This window comes from Homo sapiens, chromosome 16 (genome assembly GCF_000001405.40).
Source record: "Homo sapiens chromosome 16, GRCh38.p14 Primary Assembly".
In the NCBI taxonomy this organism is placed as follows: Eukaryota; Metazoa; Chordata; class Mammalia; order Primates; family Hominidae; genus Homo; species Homo sapiens.
In genome coordinates, this window is record NC_000016.10 from 68619701 (window position 1) to 68643896 (window position 24196).

Here is a 24196-nt window from a genome sequence, read left to right on the forward strand (position 1 = left end):
GATCACACAACTGCACTCCAGCCTGAGCAACAGAGCAAGACCGTGTCTCAAAAAAAAAAAAAAAAAAAAAAAAAGGAAGAGAAAAAGAAAAAAGAAAAACAAAAGAAAATGAAAAAGAAAATAAACCTGTCTTAGGGAGGGATAGATGGACATACACGTGATAAAGCAAGTCTAGTAAAATGTTGGTTGCAGAATCCAGAGAGTGGGTCTGTATATGTTCACTGTAAAATTCTTTCAACTTTTTGGTATGTTTGAAAACTTTCACAATAAAATGTTGGGAAAAAGTTCCTAGCTTGACCTCACATCTTCCTCCTGCTCTTACCTAATTACTCTGCTCCCTCTCTTTCCAGAAAATCTCCTGAAAAGCTTGTCTGAGCTCGTGCCTCCAATTCCTCTCCTCCTCCTGTTTCTTCTCACTACAATTACAATTCAGCTTTCGCCCCAACAGTCCACCAAAATGTCTCAAAGCTCACCAGTGATTTCCACTTGAGGAGATCCAATGGCCATTGAGGAGTCCTACTCTTGCTTAACCTATCAGCTGCAGAATTTGACTCAGCTGATCACTCCCTGCTCCTTACAAAACTTTCTTTTTTTTTTTTTTTTTTTTTTTTGAGATGGATTCTCACTCTGTTGCCAAGCTGGAGTGCAATGGCGTGATCTCAGCTCACTGCAACCTCTGCCTCCCGGGTTCAAGTGATTCTCCTGCCTCAGCCTCCTGGAGTAGCTGGGATTACAGGTATGGGCCACCATGCCCAGTTTATCTTTGTATTTTTAGTAGAGATGAGGTTTCACCATGTTGGCCAAGATGGTCTCGAACTCCTGACCACAGGTGATCCGCCCGCTTCGGCCCCCCAAAGTGCTAGGATTACAGGTGTGAGCCACTGTGCCCGGCCTCATGGATTTAATTACTATAAGATTATTCCTGAATTTATATCTGTAGCCAAGTTCTCTCTCCTTTATTCTAAATTTATATATCCGATTGCCTACTCAACATCCCCACATGGACTTTTGAGAGGCATTTCAAACTTAGCATGTCCACAAACTGACCTGGATTTGTCCTGAGGCCTAAACTGTGATTTCTTTTTTTATCTTGTCCAAATTCCTATCTAAGGGGTCTGGGGAGTCATGCCCTACAAATAATAAATTCTCATCAGATGGGTTTTCTTTAATCCTATATATCGTGACTAACTTTCCAACCTGACTCTGTTGTAACATTAGGAGACAAGGAAGAAAATAAAAATATTTTACACCAAAACATATTTCTTTGCCATATTTTAAAATGGCCCGACAAAGCTATTCTTTACAGGGGAAAATCTGCATTTGTAAAGAATATCTATTAACATAGCTAGATCTGCCGGGCGTGGTGGCTCACGCCTGTAAACCCAGCACTTTGGGAGGCTGAGGTGGGGGGATCACCTGAGGTCAGGAGTTCAAGACCAGCCTGGCCAATATGGTGAAACCCCATCTCTACTAAAAATACAAAATTAGCCAGGCTTGGTGGCACATGCCTGTAATCCCAGCTACTTGAGAGGCTGAGGTAAGAGAATCACTTGAACCAGGGAGACGGAGGTTGCAGTGAGCCAAGATTGCGCCATTGCACTCTGGCCTGGGCAACAAGAGCAAAACTCCTCAAACAAAACAAAACAAAACAAAACAAACAAACAAAAAAAACTTATACTGGCTGGGCGCCATGGCTCATGCCTGTAATCTCAGCACTTTGGGAGGCCGAGGTGGGCAGATCACAAGGTCAGGAGATCGAGACCATCCTGGCTAATATGGTGAAACCCTGTCTCTACTAAAAATACAAAAAATTAGCCCAGCATGGTGGCACACGCCTGTAATCCCAGCTACTCGGGATGCTGAGGCAGGAGAATCGCTTGAACCTGGGAGGCAGAGGTTGCAGTGAGCCGAGGTCACGCCACTGTACTCCAGCCTGAGCGACAGAGCGAGACTCCGTCTCAAAAAACAAACAAACAAACAAACCTGTATTCGGAGTGAAACATGAAGTCTTGGAGTGTTTTGAATGGAGGAGTGATGTGATTTGATTTCACCTTTAAAATGATCACCCTGGCTGGGCATAGTGGCTCACACTCTGATGCTCCCTCTTTCACATATAAGAACCCTTGTGGGCTGGGTGTGGTGCCTCATGCCTATAATCCCAGCACTTTGGGAGGGTGAGGTGGGAGGATTGCTTGAGCCCAGGAGCAGGGGAAGATAGGTATCCCATCTCAAGAAGAGAAAGATGGAGAGAGGCTCTTACCTTCCTTGACTTTTTTGTTCTATTTGGGCCTCAAATAGATGGGATGATGCCCATCCACATCGGAGAGGGTCAAATTCTGTACTGGGTCTACTGATTCAAATGCTAATCTCCCCCAGAAACACCCTCACAGACACACCCAGAAGTGTTTTACCAGCTATCTGGTCATTCCTTAGCCCAGTGAAGTTGACACATAAAATTAACCATCACACACCTAGACTTTAAAAGACCCTGCAGCTTCTGCCCTTGGCCTTTGGAAGTTCTACCACTGCTGTATAAAGAAGCCCAAGGCAGCCAAGGGCAGTGGCTCATGCGTGTAATCCCGGCACTTTGGGAGGCTGAGGCAGGTGAATCACGAGGTCAGGAGTTCAAGACCAGCCTGGCCAATTTGGTGAAACCACATCTCTACTAAAAATACAAAAATTAGCTGGGCGTGGTGGCACATGCCTGTAGTCCCAGCTACTGCTACTCGGGAGGCTGAGGCAGAAGAATCACTTGAACCCAGGAGGTGGAACTTGCAGTGAGCCGAGATTGTGCCACTGCACTCCAGCCTGGGTGACAGAGCAGAACTCCACCTCAAAAAAATAAATAAAAAAGAAACCCAAGGCTGGGCACATGGGCTCACACCTATAATCCCAGCACTTTGGGAGGCTAAGTCAGGAGGATCGCTTGAGCCCAGGAGTTCAAGACAGTCTTGGGCAACATACAACATAGCAAGCCCCTGTATCTACAAAAAAAAAAAAAAAGCCAGGCATGGTGGCATGCACCTGTAGTCCCAGCTATTCAGGAGGCTGAGATGGAAGTGTGGCTTGAGCCTGGGAGTTGGAGGTTGCAGTGAGCCCTAATTGGGCGACCGCACTCCAGCATGGGTAACACAGCGAGACTCTGTCTCAAAAATAAGAAACCCCATCTCTCTCTCACACACACACACACACACACACACACACACACACACACACACACACACACACACACAAGCCCAATCAGTCAGAGAGGCCTAGCTCAGAACCAACACCCATCACCAGATGTGAATGAGGCTAGCCTAAGCCATCCAATCCTATTCCAGCCACAAGATGACTGCAGCTGCTTGAGGGATTCAAGGTGAAACTAGCAGAAGAACCATCCAGCTGATCACAGCCTAAATTGCTGACCCACAGAATTATAAGTAAAGAGAATGTTGGTTGTTTTAAGAACTAAATTTTGGAGTGCTTTGTTACACAGTAATACTTAACTGATACAGAGCATATACATACAAATGCATCTTTTATTTTATTTATTTTTTTAAAGACTTGCTTTTTAAAGGAATCTCCCTCTGCCACTCAGGCCGGAGTGCAATGGTGCGATCTGGGCTCACTGCAACCTCTGCCTCCCGGGTTCAAGCAATTCTCCTGCTTCAGCCTCCCAAGTAGGTGGGATTACAGGTGCCCACCACCACCACCACTAATTTTTTGTATTTTTATTAGAGAAGGGGTTTCATCATGTCGGCCAGGCTGGTCTCAAACTCCTGACCTCAGGTGATCCACCCACCTCGGCCTCCCAAAGTGTTGGGATTATGGGCTCGAGCCACCACCCTCGGCCTCTTTTTCTTTTTCTTTTTTTTAAATGAGGTCTCACTATGTTGCCCAGGCTAGCTTCCAACTCCTGGGTTCAAGCCATCTTCCTGCCCCAACCTCCGGAGTAGCTGGAACAAAAGCATGTGCCACTGTATGCAGCCATTTCTTTTTTATAAGTGAGAATCTTATGAAATAAAATTTATCAGAATTCCTGTGTTTAAATCTCTTGCTGGGCAGGCACAGTGGCTCAACGTGCCCCACCAGCAAGAGATTTAAACACAGGAATTCAACACAGGAATTCAGCCAGGCACGGTATCATGCCTGGTAATTTTTTTGGTATTTTTTGTAGAGAATGGGTCTCATCATGTTGCCTAGACTGGTTTAGAACTCCTGGGCTCAAGCAATCCTCCCACCTTGGCCTCCCAAAGTGCTGGAATTACAGGTGTGAGCCACCACTCCTGACCTCTCATTTTTTACTGTAAAAAAAAAATTTACTTTGGGAGGCTGAGGCGGGGAGATCACAAGGTCAGGAGTTCAAGACCAGCCTGACCAACATGGTGAAACCCCAACTCTACTAAAAATACAAAAAAATTAGCCAGGCATGGTGGCACGCACCTGTAATCCCAGCTACTCAGGAGGCTGAGGCAGGAGAATCACTTGAACCCGGGAGGCAGAGGTTGCAGTGAGCTGAGATCACGCCACTGCACTCCAGCCTGGGCAACAGAGCGAGACTCTGTCTCAAAAAAAAAAAAATATATATATATATATATAAATTTTGAAATGCATATAAAATAATAAAAATTTACTTATCAATAATGTTAAACTTTTCTAAACTGCTAATACTAATCAATAGTTTTTGTTCAACCATTCTAGAAAAAAGACTAAATTATTTTTCTGCTCTCTCTACAGAGAATATTGTAAAATCATTGTTATATGAAGGGATTACAGGTGCGAGCCACTGCACCTGACCTCCTTCTCAATTTCTTTTCTTTCTTTCTTTTGTTTGTTTGTTTGTTTGAGACAGAGTCTAGAGTCTTGCTCTGTTGCCCAGGCTGGTGTGCAATGGTACGATCTCGGCTCACTGCAACCTCTACCTCCGAGGTTCAAGCGATTCTCCTGCCTCAGTCTCCCAAGTAGCTGGGATTATAGGCACATGCCACTGCGCCTGGCTAATTTTTTATTTTTAGTAGAGATGGGGTTTCACCATGTTAGTTAGACTGGTCTCGAACTCCTGACCTCAGGTGATTCACCCGCCTCAGCCTCCCAAAGTGCTGAGATTACAGGCGTGAGCCACCGTGCCCAGCCCTCCTTCTCAATTTCTATTCAGAAATAAAATAAAAATCTTATTGCCTTCCAAGAGGCAAACACTCTAAGAGGTAGTTTATGTCCTTTCTGCATGTTCTTTTATTTTTTTTTGGAGACTCTTTTCTTGCTCTGTTGCCCAGGCTAGAGTATAGTGGTACTATCATGACTCACTGCAACCTCGACCTCCTGGGCTCAAGCCATCCTGCAGCTTCAGCCTCCTGAGTGGCTGAGACAACAGGCACACACCACCACACTCAGCTAATTTTCGTATTTTTTTGTAGAGGCGATATTTCACCATGTTGCCCAGACTGGTCTCAACTCCTGGGCTCAAGCAATCCGCCCACTTTTGTCTCCCAACGTTCTGAGATTACTGGCATGAGCCACCTTGCCTCTAGCCCGAACTATGAATTTTTCCTGCAGATACTGAGATGATCATATTTTTCTCTGTTAACCAGGGAATATGGTGCATTACATGAAAAGATTTTCTGCTGTTGAAATGCCCTTGCCTTCCTGGGATAATCAATTGCATTTATTTTCTTTCTTTTTTTTTTGTTTTGTTTTTTGAGACAGAGTCTTGCCGTGTCACCCAGGCTGGGCTGCAATGGTGCAGTCTTGGCTCACTGCAACCTCCGCCTCCCAGGTTTAAGCAATTCTCCTGCCTCAGCCTCCTGAGTAGCTGGGATTACAGGCGCCCTCCACTATGCCTGGCTAATTTTTGTATTTTTAGTAGAGACGGGGTTTCACCACGTTGGCCAGGCTGGTCTCAAACTGCTGACCTCGTGATCCGCTCGCCTCAGCCTCCCAAAGTGCTGAGATTACAGTCGTGAGCTACCGTGCTCGGCCAATTGCATTTATTTTCTATTGTGAGTTTCTTTTCTAGCTCCCTGTCTCAGTCCATGCCTTGGAGGGACAATGACATTTCCTGTCTTGGTTCCTTGTCAAAAACTCCAGTTTCTTAGTTGGAATTTTCTAGAAGCTTCTGGAAACTTGGTTTGCTTATTAGTGATGTGATGGGATTGGTCAAGAGGCGTCAGGAGAGAACCTGGTGCTTTAGGCTGTAGAATCAGGTGAAAGCCAGGTTGTGAGCAAGTAGCAACATCCAAAGTTACCTACTTTTGTTTTTTAGCAACAGAATTCAAATTCTCTGCCCTTGTCTGGAAAGTTTATTCTGTCTCATAGATACTTTTTTTGTGAAAAGTGTAACTTTGGCTAGGCGCCGTGGCTCACGCCTGTAATCCCAGCACTTCGGGAAGCGGGCAGATCACGAGGTCAGGAGATCGAGCCCGTCCTGGCTAACACAGTGAAACCCTGTCTCTACTAAAAATACAAAAAATTAGCCGGGCGTGGTTGCAGGCGCCTGTAGTCCCAGCTACTCAGGAGGCTGAGGCAGGAGAATGGCCTGAACCCGGGAGGCGGAGCTTGCAGTGAGCCGAGATCCTGCCACTGCACTCCAGCCTGGGTGACAGAGCGAGACTCCATCTCAAAAAAAAAAAAAAAAGAAAAGTGTAACTTTATCATTTTGTGTTTTGACCACTCCCTAAGGGCCAGACACTGTGCTCAGTTTTTTATATGCCTTACTATTAATGATGCCAGTTACTATGTACTGATCTTTTCCCCAGTTCTAGGCACTGTGATCATTGTTCTGCAAATAGCATTTTATTTAATCCCCTATAGGGTAGACATTAATCACCCTATAGGGTAGGCATTAGCTCTATTCTATGCATGAGAAAACTGCGACTGAGAGGCTAACTTGCCAGTGGTCACAAGACAGAGCCCAGGTTCCAAGTCGAATTTGTCTCATTGCGGAGCCTTTGCTATGAACCATCACTATACATGCTCTGGGAAACTGGCTTTGTCAGCCCAAACATGGCATCTAGGAAATGGCCTGTAAACTCCCATGATCAGTGTTATTAAGAACCGTTAGCTCCGTGTGACCAGTGCATGACCAAGCATTGCCAAGTGCGATTGGCTGGAGTCATTTGTGGTCTGATTGATCTCAGTGTCAGCTGTGACACATGTTCACATGGGATGTCTGCAGTAATAACTCCCTTAGGGAAATTGCGTTGCACGCTGCTTTTTAAAGCTTTTAAAAAATAACAGCGTTGAGATGTAATTCATCTGCCACACAATTCCCCAATTTAAAGTGTACAACTCAGTGTTTTTTGTATATTCACAGACTTACACAACCATTACCATAATCAATTTTAGGACATTTTCATCACCCTAAAAAGAAGCCTCATTCCCATTGTAATCATGCCTCATTTCTTCCCAAACTCCCCAGCACCAGCCAAACACCAATCTGCTTTTTGTCTCTATAGATTTGCCTATTCTGGACATTTCATATAAATTAACACAATTTTCAATTAATACAACTGGCTGGGTGCGATGGCTCATGCCTGTAATCCCAGCACTTTGGGAGGCTGAGGTGGGCAGATCACTTGAGGTCAGGAGTTCAAGACCAGCCTGGCCAAAACGGTGAAACCCCGTCTCTACTAAAAATACAAAAAGTTAGCTGGGCGTGGTGGTGGGTGCCTGTAATCCCAGCTACTCAGGAGGCTCAGGCAGGAGAACTACTTGAACCCAGGAGGCGGAGGTTGCAGTGAGCCTAGATTGCGCCATTGCACTCCAGCCTGGGGAACAGGAGCGAAATTCTGTCTCAAAAAAAAAAAAATTAATATGATTAATTGTATTAATTTATATGAAATGTCCAGCATAGGCAAACTATTAGATGTATTAGTTGACTAATAAAACAATTAGTTATATTTTTTTGTGACTGGCTTTTGTGACAGGCTTCTTTCACTTTAAATAATATTTTCAAGGTTCATCCACAGCTTGTATCAGTACTTCATTTCTTTTCTTTTTCTTTTTTGAGATGGAGTTTTGCTCTGTCGCCCAGGCTGGAGTGCAGTGGCGCGATCTCAGCTCACTGCAACCTCTGCCTCCCGGGTTCAAGCAATTCTCCTGCCTCAGCCTCCCAAGTAGCTGGGATTATAGGCACCCACCACCATACCTGGCTATTTTTTTATATTTTTGGTAGAGACGGGATTTCATCATGTTGGCCAGGCTGGTCTCGAACTCCTGACCTCAAGTGATTCACCCACCTCGGTCTCCCAAAGTGCTGGAATTACAGGCATGAGTCACTGTGCCCGGCCAGTACTTCATTTATTTTCAATGCTGACTGTTTTAGTTCACTTTGTGTTGCTATAAAAGAATCTTTGAGGCTGGGTAACTTATAATGAAAGATTTATTAACCTCACAGTTCTGCCGGCTGAGAAATTCAAGGACATGGCCCTGGCTCTGGCAAGAACTTTTGCGCTGTGTTACAATGTGGTGAATGTCAAAGGGGAAATGGACACCTGTGGGGTGGGGGGGATCCTGATGGGCATCCTGGCTTTATAGCAACCCATTCTCTAGGGAACTAATTAATTCCTGTGAGATCTATCCAGGCTCGTGAGAGCAAGACCTCCCTCACTTCCTTTTGTTCCCACTTCATTGTCTCCACCTCAGCAATGAGTGAGACCACTCCTACCACATCACTAATGAGCAAACCAAGTTTCTGGAAGCTTCTATAACATTCCGGCTAAGAAACTAGAGCTTTTGACAAAGAGCCAAGACCGGAAATAACTTTGCCCCTCCAAGGCATAAACTGAGACAGGGGGCTAGAAAAGGAACTCACGGTAGAAAATAATTGCAATTGATTATCCCAGGAATGCAAGGGCATTTCAACTGCAGAAACCCTATTCATGTAATGCACCACATTACCTGGTTAAAGGAGAAAAATATTATCATGTCAATATCTGCAGGAAAAAGTAGTAGCTTGGAGTGGGTGCAGTGGCTCATGCCAGTAATCCCAGAACTTTGGGAGGCTGAGGTGGGTAGATTGCTTGAGCCCAGGAGCTCAAGACCAGCCTGTGCGACATGGTGGAATCCCATTTCTACAAAAAATACAAAAATTAGCTGAGTGTGGTGGTGTGCTCCTGTAGTCACAGCTACTCCAGAGGCTGGGATGGAAGGATGGCTTGAGCCCAGGTCGAGGCTACAGTGAGTCATGATTGCACCACTGTGCTCCAGTCTGGGTGACATAACAAGACTCTGTTTCAAAAAATAAAAATTAATAGGAGCAGCCGGGCGCGGTGGCTCACGCCTGTAATCCCAGCACTTTGGGAGGCTGAGGCGGGCGGATCACGAAGTCAGGAGATTGAGAACATCCTGGCTAACACAGTGAAAACCCACCTCTATTAAAAATACAACAAATTAGCCGGGCATGGTGGCACACGCCTGTAATCCCAGCTAATCTGGAGGCTGAGGCTGGAGAATTGCTTGAACCCGTAAGGCAGAAGTTGCAGTGAGCCAAGATCATGCCACTGCACTCCAGCCTGGGCGAGAGAGCGAGACTCTGTCTCAAAAAAAAAAAAAAAAGAAAAGAAAAAAGAAAAAGAAAAAAAAAAAGACTAGGAGCAAATAAACTAAACTCCTAGCATAGGTTAATTTGATCTGGAGAGATAATGAGTGATTGTTGTTTTCTTGTTTTCTTCTTCCTTGTCCTTTACTTTCCCTCCCCTTCCCAAATTCCTGTATTAATTTAATTACAATGTTTCAGAATTCTTCCTTTTCTGTAGTATCACTTTAGGGACCTGACTTTCTTGGGCCAGCCCTCACACCTGTCTGTCGGCAAGCGGCCCCTACCCGAGTGTGCACAGCACCTGGCCCTGTGTGATCCGGGGGGCCTCTTGGCTTGTGCCCACCCATGCCTGCAAGCGCTGTGTTCTCGCCAAGGCCTCAGATCTCAGGCTTTGATCCTCCAAATGCTTGAAGAACATCAACTCATTAGTTTCATCCCCATGACTACACAGTGGGGTCGTGGGGGCTTCCCCTTCCTCCAGCTCCTCAGGCAAGTGGATCTGGTGCCCTCTAGCAGGCAGCTGAGGACAAGTTGAGAAGGGGATGTTTGTAGAAAAGGTGTTGGGAGGTGGGAGTGGGGGCAGCAACAGAGGCACTTGCCAGAGGCCATTTCCTTCCCTGGCAGGTGTGGAATGGAGGACTTTATCAGGGTCTTTAAATTTTTAAAGACTTTTGCTGGTGATGTTTTGTCTTCCTGTCACTGTTTTATCAAAGAGGGCAGGCAAATGGGCTTTGGTGTCCTTAACTATTGTGTATGAGGGTGTGAAAGCCAGGACTGCTACAGGGACCTGCAAAACGAAGATTCCTGGGTGGGAGCAGAGGTGGGGTAGTGGGTATTGGGAAGCAGGAGAACTGTTAGTGCCTCACGCTGAATTGCTGCTGGATTCTGGTTGTTCTTTCTGGTTTTGATCCATAGGTTCTGGATCACACCCTGGAAAACTAGAACTCAGATAAGACTGGTGTTTTGTTTCTTTAAACTTTTTTTCCTTTTTGTTTACTTGGTCTTTTGTGTAGGAGAAATCCACTACCACCTCAACTTCTACTATAAGGTTGGCAGCCCTGAGGATCCTTTTTTTTTTTTGAGATGAAGTCTCGCTCTGTCGTCCAGGCTGGAGTGCAATGGCATGATCTCATCTCACTGCAACCTCTGGCTCCAGGGTTCAAGCGATTCTCCTGCCTCAGCCTCCCGAGTAGCTGGGATTACAGGCGCCCACCACCACAACCGGCTAATTTTTATTTTTGGTAGAGACAGGCTTTCGCCATGTTGGTCAGGCTGGTCTCAAACTCCTGACATCAGGTGATCCACCTGCCTTGCCCTCCCAAAGTGCTGGGATTACAGGCGTGAGCCACCACACCTGGCCTTTTTTTTTTTTTTTTTTTGAGACAGGGTCTTGCTGGGTTGCCCAGGCTGCAGTGCAGTGGCACAATCACAGCCCACTGCAGCCTCAACCTGCCGGGCTCAAGCAATCCTCAGCCTCCTGAGTACCTGGGACTATAAGTGTGTGCCACCATGACTGGCTAATTTTTATTTATTAATTTATTTTTATTTTTTCATAGAGACAGGGGGCTCATTATGTTGCCCAAACTGGTGTTGAACTCCTGGCCTCAAGCCATCCTCCTGCCTCGGCCTCCCAAAGTGCTGGGATTCCAGGCATGAGGCACGCTGCCTGGCCTAGAACTCCTTTTTTAATGGAGCATGTTATGAATGTATTCCTGCTTCCACAGGAATGAGGAGTAGACAGTTCCACACTAGTCCACAAAAGACTAGTTTTTAACTCACAGTTAGCACACTTTTTTTAGTAGAAAACGAATAGGAAAAAAAGATACAGATATGCCGCAGAGAGAGAGAAGACAAAATTACTCATAATTTCATCACCTGGAAATGTGGTTTTGGTGTCTTTTCTCCATTCATTCATTCAATAAGTATTTATTGAGCACCTATTATTTGCTATTTTGAATCCTGGGGATCTAACGGTGAGCTTAAACACTCTCTGTCCTCATATGGTTCACAGGCTAGCGAGGAGATATAATTTAACCAAAGATTAAAATTAAATGTGGATAATTAGCCAAGTTGTCTACACATAAATGGACAATTTAAACAATGACAAGAGCTAGTATATTCAGTCCTACAAGAACATAAAATATTGGGCTCTGGTTGGGCACAATGGTTCGAATATCTGGAATCCCAGCACTTTGGGAGGCCAAGGCAGGAGGATCACTTGAGCCCAGGAGTTCGAGACCAGCCTGGGCAACATGGCAAAACCCCATTTCTACAAAAAGTACAAAAATTAACAGGGCATGGTGGTGTGCACCTGTGGTTTCAGCTACTTGGGAGGCTGAGGTAGGAGGACTGATTGAGCCCAGGGGGGCTGGAGGGTTGGTGGGAGTAGAGGTTGCAGTGAGCCTAGATGGTGCCACTTCCTTCCAGTCTGGGTGACAGAGCAAGATTCTGTCTCAAAAAAAAAAAAAAAAAAAAGTTTTCTGACCTAGTTAGAGAAGTCAGGGAAGGCTTCCCTAAGGAAACAGCACTCAGCTAAGATTGAAGGATAAGTGTAAATTAAGTGGAAAAGAAGAAAAAAAGAAGAGTGCTCCAGGCAGAGGAAAGAGCAGGAGCAAAAGACCTGTAGCAGAAAAGATTACGGCACATTCAAGGGATGGACAGAGGACCTACGGCTAGAGCACAGGGCAATGTGGGTGGGAGAGTAGTCAGGGGCCAGACCAGACAGCCCCTGAAGACTTTGTTAAGAGCTTTTATTTCAGAGAATGGGAAACCATTAAAGGGTTTTTATTCAGAGAAGGTGACATTAACAGGCTTTCTTTTGGAAAATACTACTTATTACATACTTTGTGCATTTATGTACTACTTTTTTCACAAGAGGCAATTATTCTTTACTTATCATTATTATTATTTTGAGACAGAGTTTCACTCTTGTCGCCCAGGTTGGAATGCAATGGTGCAATCTCGGCTCACTGCAACCTCTGCCTCCGAGTTCAAGCGATTCTCCTGCCTCAGCCTCCCGAGTAGCTGGGATTACAGGCACCTGCCTCCATGCCCAGCTAATTTTTGTATTTTTAGTAGAGACGGGGTTTTACCACGTTGGCCAGGCTGGTCTCGAACTCCTGACCTCAGGTGATCCACTCGCCTCAGCCTCCCAGAGTGCTGAGATTACAGGCGTGAGCCACTGTGCCTAGATATTATTTTTATTTCTTTCTTTATTTTTGAAATGGAGTCTCGCTCTATTGCCCAGGCTGGAGTGCAATGGCACAATCATTTGCGGCTCACTGCAACCTCTGCCTCCCGGGTTCAAGAGATTCTCTTGCTTCAGCCTCCTGAGTAGCTGGGATTACAGGCACACACCATCACGCCCAGTTAATTTTTGTATTTTTAATAGAGAGGGGGTTTCACCATGTTGGCCAGGCTGGCCTTGAGCTCTTGACCTCAGGTGATCTGCCCGCCTCAGCCTCCCAAAGTGCTGGGATTACTGACATGAGCCACCGCGCCCGGCCGTTATTATTTTTTTTTTTTTTTGAGTTGGAGTTTCGCTTTTGTCGCCCAGGCTGGAGTACAATGGCAACATCTTGGCTCGCTGGAAACTCCGCCTTCCTGGTTCAAGCAATTCTCCTGCCTCAGCCTCCTGAGTAGCTGGGATCACACGCGTGCACCACCATGGCCAGCTAATTTTTGTGTTTTTAGTGGAGATGGGGTTTCACCATGTTGGCCAGGCTGGTCTCCAACTCCTGACCTCAAGTGATCCACCTGCCTTGGCCTCCCAAAGTGCTGGGATTACAGGAGTGAGCCACTGCCCCCAGCCTTTTTTTTTTTTTTTTTTTTTTTTTGAGACAGGGTCTTACTCCATCATCCAGGCTAGAGTGCAGTGGCATGATCAAGGCTCATTGCAGCCTTCACTTCCCAGATTCAAGCAATCCTCCCACCTCAGCTTCCTGAGTAGCTGGGATCACAAGTGTGCACCACAACACAAAAATCCAATTCTTATGGAGCTGACATTTTGCGGAAGTGCGTTCAGATTCTGGGCGTTTTGGATTTTGATTCTAGTTTCTCAAATTGTCACATGACTTTGGGCCTCAGTTCAAAAATGTAGATTCTTGGCCGGGCATGGTGGCTCACGCCTGTAATCCCAGCACTTTGGGAGGCCAAGGCGGGCAGATCACGAGGTCAAGAGATCGAGACCATCCTGGCTAACACGGTGAAACCCCGTCTCTACTAAAAATACAAAAAATTAACCAGGTGTGGTGGCAGGTGCCTGTAATCCCAGCTACTCAGGAGGCTGAGGCAGGAGAATGGCGTGTACCCGGGAGGTGGAGCTTGCAATGAGCAGAGATCCCGCCACTGCACTCCAGCCTGAGCGACAGAGCGAGACTCCGTCTCAAAAAAAAAAAAAATAGATAGATAGATAGATAGATAGATAGATAGATAGATAGATAGATTGATTCTTGGCCTGATTCTTGGCCTGACCACAGTCTTAATGAATTAATAAGGAGAAGGTAGTATGTGGAAGAGTTAACAAGCTCTCTAAAGTTATTCAGAACAGCTGGAAAATAAGAGATTAAGTGAATTAAACTGCCTCCCTTCTCTTTTTCCCAAACACTGATCAGCCACTCAGCAATCCTGCATATACATCTGTTGATATACTAAATTTTCCAAAATATTTCTCATAAGAAAGTGGGTTCAGATGGCTTGAAGGAGAAGCAAGTCCAAACATCAGAAGCAGACATTTGACCTTGAACGAGAAAGTGGTGGGGGAAGCAGAAAGTGCTGTCCTTGTCCCTGTTTTTTGTCTGCCACTGAGTTTGCTGTGCACCCAGGGCAGGTCACATTACTGATCTAAATCTTGGTGTGCTCATCACCAAAACGAAGTTACGCTTTCTCAGATAGTACCAGTTCGTGGAAAGGTGCTGGGTTAACTGCATCAAAATCACCTGGAGAGCTTATTACATCTCCAGATTGCTGGGCCCAATAGATTGGAAGAGTCTGATTCAGGGGGGATAGGATGGCATCCATCACTTCCTCTATTTTTATTTTATTTTATTTTTATTTTTATTTTTTTCTGAGACAGTCTTGCTCTGTCGCCCAGGCTGGAGTGCAGTGACACTGTCTTGGCTCATGGCAACCTCCGTCTCCTGGGTTTGGGCGATTCTCCTGCCTCAACCTCCCGAGTATCTAGGACTACAGGCCCATGCCACCATACCTGGCTAATTTTTGGGTTTCTCCATGTTGGCCAGGCTGGTCTCGAACTCCTGACTTCAAGTAGTCCGCCAGCCTCGGCCTCCTGAAGAGCTGGTATTACAGGTGTGAGCCACTGCACCTGGCCTTCCTGGGCAACTTTTGATATGGATCCAGATATGGGATCTTGCTGGGCTAGATCAAACTCTCTGTGCCTCAGCTTTCTCATCTGTAATGTGTAATCATTCCCCTGATGGTAGAATTAAATAAGCTAACTTCCATCATGCACTTAGAACAGTGTCTGGCATGTAGTAAGTACTGTGTAAGTTTTAACTATTCTATCAGTCAGGGTCCAATCAGGAAGACAAAAACCACTGTGAGTATTTAAACCAGAGGAGCCTGGGTAACCTAGGGAGACCCCATCTCTACAACAAATAAAAATTAGCCAGGCATGGTGGTGTGCTCTTGTAGTCCTAGCTACTTGGGAGACTGAGGTGGGAGGATTGCTTGAGGCCAAGAGGTTGAGGCTGCAGTGAGCTGTGATGACAGCACTGCACTCCAGCCTGGACAACAGAGTGAGACCCTATCTCAGAAAAAAAAAAAAAGAGGTAATGGAGAGGATGAGAAGACAAACGGGGATGGTGATGCAACACAGAGATTAGAGAGCATGAAGTCTGCTACCCCTTAGCAAAAGGAAGAAAGGGAAAGGTGACCAGGCGCAGTGATTCACGCCTGTAATCCCAGCACTTTGGGAGGCTGAGGCAGGTGGATCACGAGGTCAGGAGTTCGAGACCAGCCTGGCCAATATGGTAAAACCCATCTCTACTAAAATTACAAAAATTAGTTGGGTGTGGTGGCACGCGCCTGTAGTCCCAGCTCCTCAGGAGGCTGATGCAGGAGAATCGCTTGAACCCGGAGGCGGAGGTTGCAGTGAGCCGAGATTGCGCCACTGCACTCCAGCCTGGGTGACAGAGCGAGACGGTGTCTTAAAAAAAAAAAAAAAGAAGAAGAAAAAAAAAAGGCCGGGTGCGGTGGCTCACGCCTGTAATCCCAGCACTTTGGGAGGCCGAGGCGGGTGGATCACGAGGTCAGGAGATCGAGACCATCCTGGCTGACACGGTGAAACCTTGTCTCTACTAAAAATACAAAAAATTAGCCGGGCGTGGTGGTGGGCGCCTGTAGTCCCAGCTACTCAGGAGGCTGAGGCAGGAGAATGGTGTGAACCCGGGAGGCGGAGCTTGCGGTGAGCCGAGATCGCGCTACTGCACTCCATCCAGCCTGGGCAACAGAGTGAGACTCCGTCTCAAAAAAAAAAACGAAGAAAGGGAAAGGTGGTATCACTGGAGCCTAGAGTCTGGGGTCACCTGGGAGACCCACAGCCAAGCTGGATCTGCAGACAAGACACAGCCACTTCTTAGGCACTGTTGAGCAAGCTCTCTGGCTCTTTTGTTTGTCCTGCCTCCTGCCCTCCCAGTAGTGCCTCCATCAGCTGAATCCAGAAGGATGTCATCTTTCAAGGGAGCCTGGGAAGCAGTCTGCAGGGGTCACCCCTGCCTTTTAGGGGAAGGATGAAGAATGGCTCTGAGAGCAGATTCGTATATTTTGTTGTTATTATTATTATTATCATTATTATTTTCTTTAAGGTCCTTTTTGGTCCTAAAGTTCTCAGAGTTTCTAGACCTTAACCAACCACTGCAGCGGGACCCGGGGCGTCATGAGTGCTTATTGACTAATCGACTCCTTGCCCTCAGTGTACACACGTACACAAATGCTTGGCTTCTGTTCTCTGGAAACTGACAGCTCAGGCCTTGGCAAAAATTCCCCAGTGCTGAAGGCAGCACAGCCCCACCCAAGATTCAGGGAAAGGGAAGGTATGCAGCCCAGGTTTCTCGACCTGGGCAGCCTGCCTCAGCATCTTTAAGGATTCAGAAGTGATAAATAGGAAGAGCTGGCCGGTGATGTCACAAGGCAAATAGACGGGTCCTGAGGAGGTCAGGAACAGATGCAAAAAGGTAAGATTGTGGAATCCCTCTCGCAGAGCCCTGGGGTGTGAGGTGCCAGGAATTAGAGCCTCACCCGGTTTTAAGGCCACTTCCTGGAAGACTGGAAAACACCGTCTTGTCTTTGGGACACATCCCTTTAAGTATGCTCCGTGGGAGTGAAGCTCTGGGAAGTTTACTACCAAAAATGGGCAGAAAAGCTCTTTCTGAATGTTTCTTGGAAGACCCAGAATTTAACCTTGACCAAAGGCAAATGTGTTTATTTTGAAACGTTCTTAGAGAAAGGATTGAATATTGTGGAATTCTTCCAAATACACAAAAGACCTGTTCCCCCAAATCATTCTTCCAGCAAATATTTATGGGTAGCAGCTTGGCTACTAAGTCAGGCAATGAGTTTGGGAGCGAGAACTAGATTAGCCTGTTGCTTTGCCTCTGCCCTGGCTATGTGGCCTTGGGCAAGGGACTTAAGTTCAGTTACTTTATCTGTAAAATAGGAATAATAAGAATTACCTTGTAAATTTATGAGGATTAAAATGAGCTTATGTATGAGAGTATTTAGCACAGAGTCTGGTATCCAGTGAGTAATCAGGAAATGGTAATAGTTCATTTTATTATGACTCGCATGGCTTGTATGACACTTTGCAAAACACTTTCCCTTATATTAGCTGATTGGATCTCCTCTCAGCTCTGTGAGGTGGGTCAGGGAACCAACATTGATCTTGACTCTACTGTGGATCTAGCACCCTGCCACATGCTTAACAGTGATCAACTTGTTGGTTTCAGTTATTCAATACATATTTGAGTATCTATTTTATGCCAGGCTATTCTATGCACTGGAGATACAGCAATAAACAAAGGAGACAAAAGCCCCTGCTTCTTGCAGAGGATACACTCAATGCAGGGAGACAGACAATGAGTACAATTTAACAAACTCTTATGTAAACTGTCTCCTAAAGTGCTTTACAAATATTAACTCACGACCTATGAGGAAGTTGTTATTATGCTTATCCCATTTTACAGATTAGAACACTGAGTTCCAAGGGGATTGAAAGTCACAAGGTCTCACAGCTAAGGAGAGCTGGATTCAGGATTCAAAGCCAGGCAGTGTGACTCCAGAGTCCATGCTCTTAATCTTTTTTTTTTTTTTTCTTTTTTTGAGGCAGAGTCTCCCTCTGTCGCCCAGGCTGGAGTGCAGTGGTGCAATCTCGGCTCACTGCAATCTCCGGGTTCAAGTGGTTCTCCCACCTCAGCCACCCGAGTAAATGGGACTACAGGCATACACTACCATGCCTGGCTAATTTTTTGTATTTTTAGTAGAGACAGGGTTTCACTATGTTTCCCAGGCTGGTCTCAAACTCCTGAGCTCAAGCGATCTGCCCGCCTCAGCCTTCCCAAAGTGCTGGGATTACAGGCATGAGCCACTGTGCCCAGTCCATGCTGTTAATCTCTACTATAGGTCATCTCTCAAAAAAAAAATCATATATATACTAATAAATTAAAGTATGATAAGTGCTATGAAAACATATAGGCTGGATGTGGGGCTCACACCTGTAATCCCACTGCTTAGGGAGGCCGAGGCAAGAGGATCACTTGATCCCAGGAGTTGGAGACCAGCCTGGGCAACAGTGAGACCCCGGCTCTACAAAGATAACTTTTACAAAGCTTAAAAAAAAAAAAAGCAGAGTAAAGGGAAAAGAGAGTGATGGGAGAGTGCTCTCTCTGCAGGGGGCTTGGGGAGGCCTCTCTGATGAGCCACATCTGAGCAGAGACCTGAAGGAGGTGAGGGAGAGGGGCAGGTGGATGTCTGGGAAGAGTGATCCAAGCAGAGGGAACGGCAAGTGCAAAGGCCTGTGGCGGGCCCACCCCTGATGTTGGGAAAGCTCAGGGATCTAGTGGGAGCCGAAGTGGAAGATGGCTTGGCCTGAGCCTCTGGAAGGAAAGAGTGCAGGAGGCGCAGGTGTGTCGGGGAAGGCCAGGAGTTCAGTTTGGGATAATCTCACCATCACCCATCAAGTGGAAAGCTCCGAAGGGCCTAGAGGGGTCAGGGAACTCACACCAGGTCACTCAGGCAGTCATTTTCAGAGGCACGATTCACAACTCAGGTCTGTGGACCCTAACTTCAGGCCATGGGCATGTCTTAGTTTGGGTGCTGTGGGGAAGTCTGGAGAGGTAAGAGTCCGATAGCCCTGACCTCTGACCCTGTGTTGGTCCATTTGCATTGCTGTAAAGGAATACCAGAGACTGGGTAATTTATAAAGAAAAGAGGTTTATTTTGGCTCATGGTTCTGCAAGCTGTACAGAAAGCATGGTGCTGGCATTCGCTTCTGCTGAGGGCCTCCAGAAGCTTCCAATCATGGTGGAAGGCAAAGTGGGGACGTGTCACAGGGAGAGAGAGGGAGTAACAGAGAGGTGGGGGAGGCACCAGGCTCTTTAAACAGCACACAGCGCCAAGGGAGGGGAGTTCAAAAACTGGAAAAGTGATCCCAGGGAGTCCAAGCAGGGTCCTGACAGTGTCCACTACACTTCCCTTCCCTATTTCAGAAATGGCGTTGTCTGGCTGGGTGTGGTGGCTCATACCTGTAATCCCAGCACTTTGGGAGGTGGAGGAGGGAGGATCACTTGAGCGATCCTCCTGGCTGGAATTCAAGACTAGCCTGGGCAACATAGCAAGACCTCATCTCTACTAAAAATAAAAATAAAAAACTAGCTGGGCATAGTGGTATGCACCTATAGTCCCAGCTATCTGGGAGGCTGAAACGAGGATTTCTTGAGCCTGGGAGATCAAGGCTGCAGTGATCTGTGATTGTGCCACTGCACTCCAGCCTGGGCAACAGAATAAGACTCTGTCTCAAAAAAGGAAATGGTATTGTCATCCTGCTGATTGCTCGGGCCAGGCCAAAAACCCTGGAGTCATTCTTGACCTGCTCTGCCTCTCATACTCCACATCCAATCTTTTGGCCAATTTTGTTGACAATACTTCAAAATATACCCAGAATCTGATCATGGGTTTTTTAATTTTTTTAGTAAATTAAAAAAAAAAAGTGGTAAAATACACATAACATAAAATTTACCATCTTAACCATTTTTTAGTGTATTCTTCAGTGGTATTAACTGCGTTCCTATTGTGTAACCATTGCCACCATCCATTGAACTCTTTTCATCCTGCAAAACTGAAACTGTGTACCTGTTAAACATTTTGTTTATCCATTCATCTATCAGTGGGTGCTTGGATTGGTCCTACCTTTTGACTATTATGAATAATGCTGCTATGAACATGGGTGTACAAACATCTCTTCAAGTCCTGCTTTTTTTTTTTTTTTTTGAGATGAAGTTTCACTCTGTCACCCAGGCTGGAGTGCAATGGCGCAATCTCGGCTCACTGCAACCTCTGCCTCCTGGGTTCGAGCAATTCTTCCACCTCAGCCTCCCAAGTAGCTGGAAAAACAGACGTGCACCATTATGCCCAACTAATTTTTGTATTTTTAGTAGAGACGGCATTTTGCCATGTTGCCCAGGCTGGTCTCAAACTCCTGACCTCAAGCGATCCACCTGCCTCGGCCTCCCAAAGTGCTAGGATTACAGACGTTGAGCCACTGTGCCTGGCCCCTGCTTTCACTTTTTTTGAGTATATACCCAGACATGGAATTGCTGGATCATATGGTAATTCTATTTTTTTTTTCTTAAGGAACTACCATACTGTTTTCCATAGCGACTGCACCATTTTACATTCCCACCAACAGCACACAAGGATCCTAATTTCTCCACATCCTCACCAATGCTTGTTACTTTCTGGGTTTTAAAAAATCTTCTGCCAGGCATGGTGGTTCATGTCTGTAATCCCAACACTTTGGGAGACTGAGGCAGGAAGATCGCTTGAGCCCAGGAGTTAGAGACCAGCCTGGGCCATAGGGAGATGCTGTCTCTACAAAAAAAAAAAAAAAAAAAAATTAGAAAATTAAAAAATTAGGCCGGGTGCAGTGGCTTATGCCTGTAATCCCAGCACTTTGGGAGGTCGAGGTGGGCAGATCACCTGAGGTCAGGAGTTCAAGACCAGCCTGGCCAACAAGGCAAAACCCCATCTCCATTAAAAATACAAAAATTAGCTGGGCGTGGTGGCACCCGCCTGTGGCCCCAGCTACTCAGGAGGCTGAGGCGGGAGAATCGCTTGAACCTAGGAGGCGGAGGTTGCAGTGATCCCAGATCGCACCACTGCACCCTAACCTGGGCGACACAGCGAGACTCCATCTCAAAAAAAAAAAAAAAAATTAGCCAGGCGTGATGGCACACACCTTTATTTCCAACTACTTGGGAGGGTGAGGTGGGAGGATCGCACTTGAGCCTGACAGGTTGAGGCTGCAGTGAGCTGTGATCATGCCACTGCACTGCACCCCTGCTGGGGTGACAGCAAGACCCTGTCTCAAAAAAAAAAAAAAAAAAAGTCTGACTGTTTCAGACCCACTCCATAATGACCAATCTGAACCAAGCCGTTTCATCTTTTGCCTGGATAACTGCAATGGAGCCCCCACCAGCCTCCCTGCTTCCCTTGTCCCTTATAATTTTCTCAACATCACTCCTCTGCTCAAAACCAACAGTGGCTGCCTCCCCTGGTTCCCCAAGTAGGGGCCAAAGTTCTTACAATGGCCTACATGCTCTACAAGGTGTGATCCTGGCCCTCCCATACTCTGACTCACTTCCTACTTGCTCTCTCTACTCCAGCCACACTGGCTTTCTTGCTGTTCCAAGTAATCTACTGTCTCGGGGCCTCTGCCCTGTTTTCTCTGCCTGGAATGCTCTTTCCAAAGCGTGGTTCCTTCACTTCCTTCAAGTCTTTGTTCTAATGCCACTTTATGAGTAAGGCCTCTGGGCTTTCTTGTTTGCTCTCCGAGTTCCCATCATTTTCTGCCCTTCTGTGCCCTGTCCTGAGCCTGGGGAGAATGACCCCTCTAGAAAGCAACCTGGGCTTTCTTGCCTCAGGCTTCTGAGTGGGTTTGGTGAATGGGAGGTGCCACCAGGAGATGAAAGGCAAGAGGGGAGAGATGCTGGGGTATTTTTTTTCCCTGCACTTTCTCTGCTCTGCTCTGGGCAGTGGCTGTGCCTTCCTCGATCACAGCTGCATTTGGGAATGGATCCCACACTTCCCTGTCCCCTTATCCACGGACTTCCAATAACATGATTTCCTCTCTGACCTTCAGTTCTCAAAGTAGTCATGCCTTCCAGCTTTTGTTTGTCTCTCTGGTGCCTCAACACCCCTGTTGTCTGGGCTCCCTGAACCCTGCCCATTTCTCTCGTCCCTTCCTTAAGACTTGAACCTCCCGGCTGGGCGCAGTCTCTAACGCCTGTAATCCCAGCACTTTGGGAGATCGAGGCGGGCAGATTGCCTGAGGTCAGGAGTTTGAGATCAGCCCGGCCAACATGGTGAAACCCTGCCTCAACTAAAAATACAAAAATTAGCTGGGGATGGTGGCAGGCACCTGTAGTCCCAGCTACTCGGGAGGCTGAGGCAAGAGAATCGCTTGAACCCGTGAGGCGGAGGTTGCAGTGAGCCGAGATCTCGCCATTGCACTCCAGCCTGGGCATGGCAGCGAGATGTCTCAAAAAAAAAAAAAAAAGTGCAGTTGCTATGGAAAACAGTATGGTGTTTCCTCAAAAAATAAAGCAGGCTGGAGTGCAGTGGTGTGATCATAGTTCACTGCAGCCTCAACCTCCTGGGCTCAAGCTATCCTCCCGCCTTAGCCTTCTGAGTAGCTGGGACTACAGGCCCGTGCCAGCAAGCCTGGCTAATTTTTTTTTTTGTATTTTTTGTAGAGACAGGGGTCTCGCTGTGTTGCCCAGGCTGGTGTCAAACTCCTGGGCTCATCCACCCACCTCAGCCTTCTAAATGGGATTACAGGCGTGAACCACTGCCCACTGCGCCGGGCCCCCCTGTCCTTGTTCTTGTACACGGTACATGTTACCATCTAACATATTATATTTCCACGTATTTTTTCACTTTCCTCTACCCTCCACACTCTGGATGGCAAGTCCGAAGGCGCAGGGATGTTTGTTCACTGTTGTATCTTAAGTGGTTGGCACATCGCCGGCTGTCAGCAAATGTTTTTGAAATGAATGAATGAGTGAATGACCGACAAGGGGAGCTAAGGGGAAGGCAGCGGTGCGGTCCGCGTCGCAGGCAGAAGAGCTGACTCTCCAATCTCCGCTCCTCTCTCCGCCCCCGTCCGGAATGCTGAGTGCCCGAGAAGGAGGCGGAAATGAGCGCGCTCAACAGCCCACCAGCCGGGTGTTTACTTAATTAGGGCCTGCATCCCGAGGCTCGTTTGTGTTTAACCGTCCGCCTAATGGCTTCGTCTGGCTCCGGGCGGGCGCGGGGGAACCTGCGAGGCGAGCGTAGGCCTGGCCACCCTGTCCCGCCGGGGGCCCACTCCATTGCGCCGCGCGGGTGCGCGTAGACCTGACCTCCCCTCGGGCATAAAAAGCGCCCTGCGGGAGATCCAGGCCGGGAGGGCGCGGAGCTCAGCGAGCAGCCCCAGGCTTTCCCAACCGCGTGGTCCACCCCCAGCCTCAGTCCCAGCCCCAGCTGCTGGGCTCACCCGCCGGCTAAGGGAATGCTCCCGAGATACCAGATGCCAGTTGCTCGTTGTACCCTCAGCCATGAAATTGGAGGATTACAACGCTTCTCATTCTCTTAATTCAGGGGATGTGGGGATGCTAGAAAGAGAGACGGCTCGCCAGACATCTGAGAGCAATAATACCAGGCAGCATTTGGGCACTTGCTGTGTGCCAGATATGATGTTTAGCGTTTTAAACCTTCTAATTTATTTAATACTCATCTATGAGAGGGTAAAATACTAAGATCATAACAGCCCCATTTGACAGATGCAGAACTGAGGCCCAGGGGGTTTATTTTACTTCCCCGAGGCTTCAGCGCTACTAAGGGGTGGGACCTGGATTTGAACCCAGGTGGGGCCGGCCTTAAGGGCCCATGCTAGGCCTGAGAGAGCAAGACCCCCACCCTCGCAACGCAAGCAATCCATGGCTTAGCCACAGGCCTGGCGGGGAGGAGGACGGATAGATTACCAGGTTAGCCCTGGAAGGTCAAAGAATCTGTCATTTAAAACTCCAGGCTGGGCCCCGTTTCTCACGCCTGTAATCCCAGCACTTTAGGAGGCCAAGGGAAGCGGATCACTTGAGGTCGGGAGTTCGAGACCAGCCTGGCCAATATAGCGAAATCCCGTCTCTACTAAAAATACAAAAATTAGCCTGGTGTGGTAGTGGGCGCCTGTAGTCCCAGCTACTCGGGAGGCTGAGGCAGGAGAGTCGCTTGAACCTGGGAGGCGGAGGTTGCAGTGAGCAGAGATGACGCCACCGTACTGGACGACAGTGAGACTCCATCTCAAAAAAACAAACAAAACAAAAAAACCTCTCCAGTCTCCAGTCCGTTCCTCAAACCCCTAAATCTGAGCTGGGGACGGGGAGGGAGAAGGACCAGGAGGTGGCATCC

At 47.2% G+C, this 24196-nt stretch overlaps 1 non-coding gene and 1 pseudogene across 1 annotated transcript; both read right to left on the reverse strand.

Moving 5' to 3' along the window:
• Nucleotides 1-10522: 10522 nt before the first annotated feature.
• Nucleotides 10523-10654, reverse strand: LOC124903808 (small nucleolar RNA U109). The gene has a single exon (XR_007065252.1). It is a non-coding gene; the product is annotated as a small nucleolar RNA U109 (small nucleolar RNA).
• Nucleotides 10655-11163: 509 nt separating this feature from the next.
• LOC124903809 (uncharacterized) lies at nucleotides 11164-11268 on the reverse strand (annotated as a pseudogene).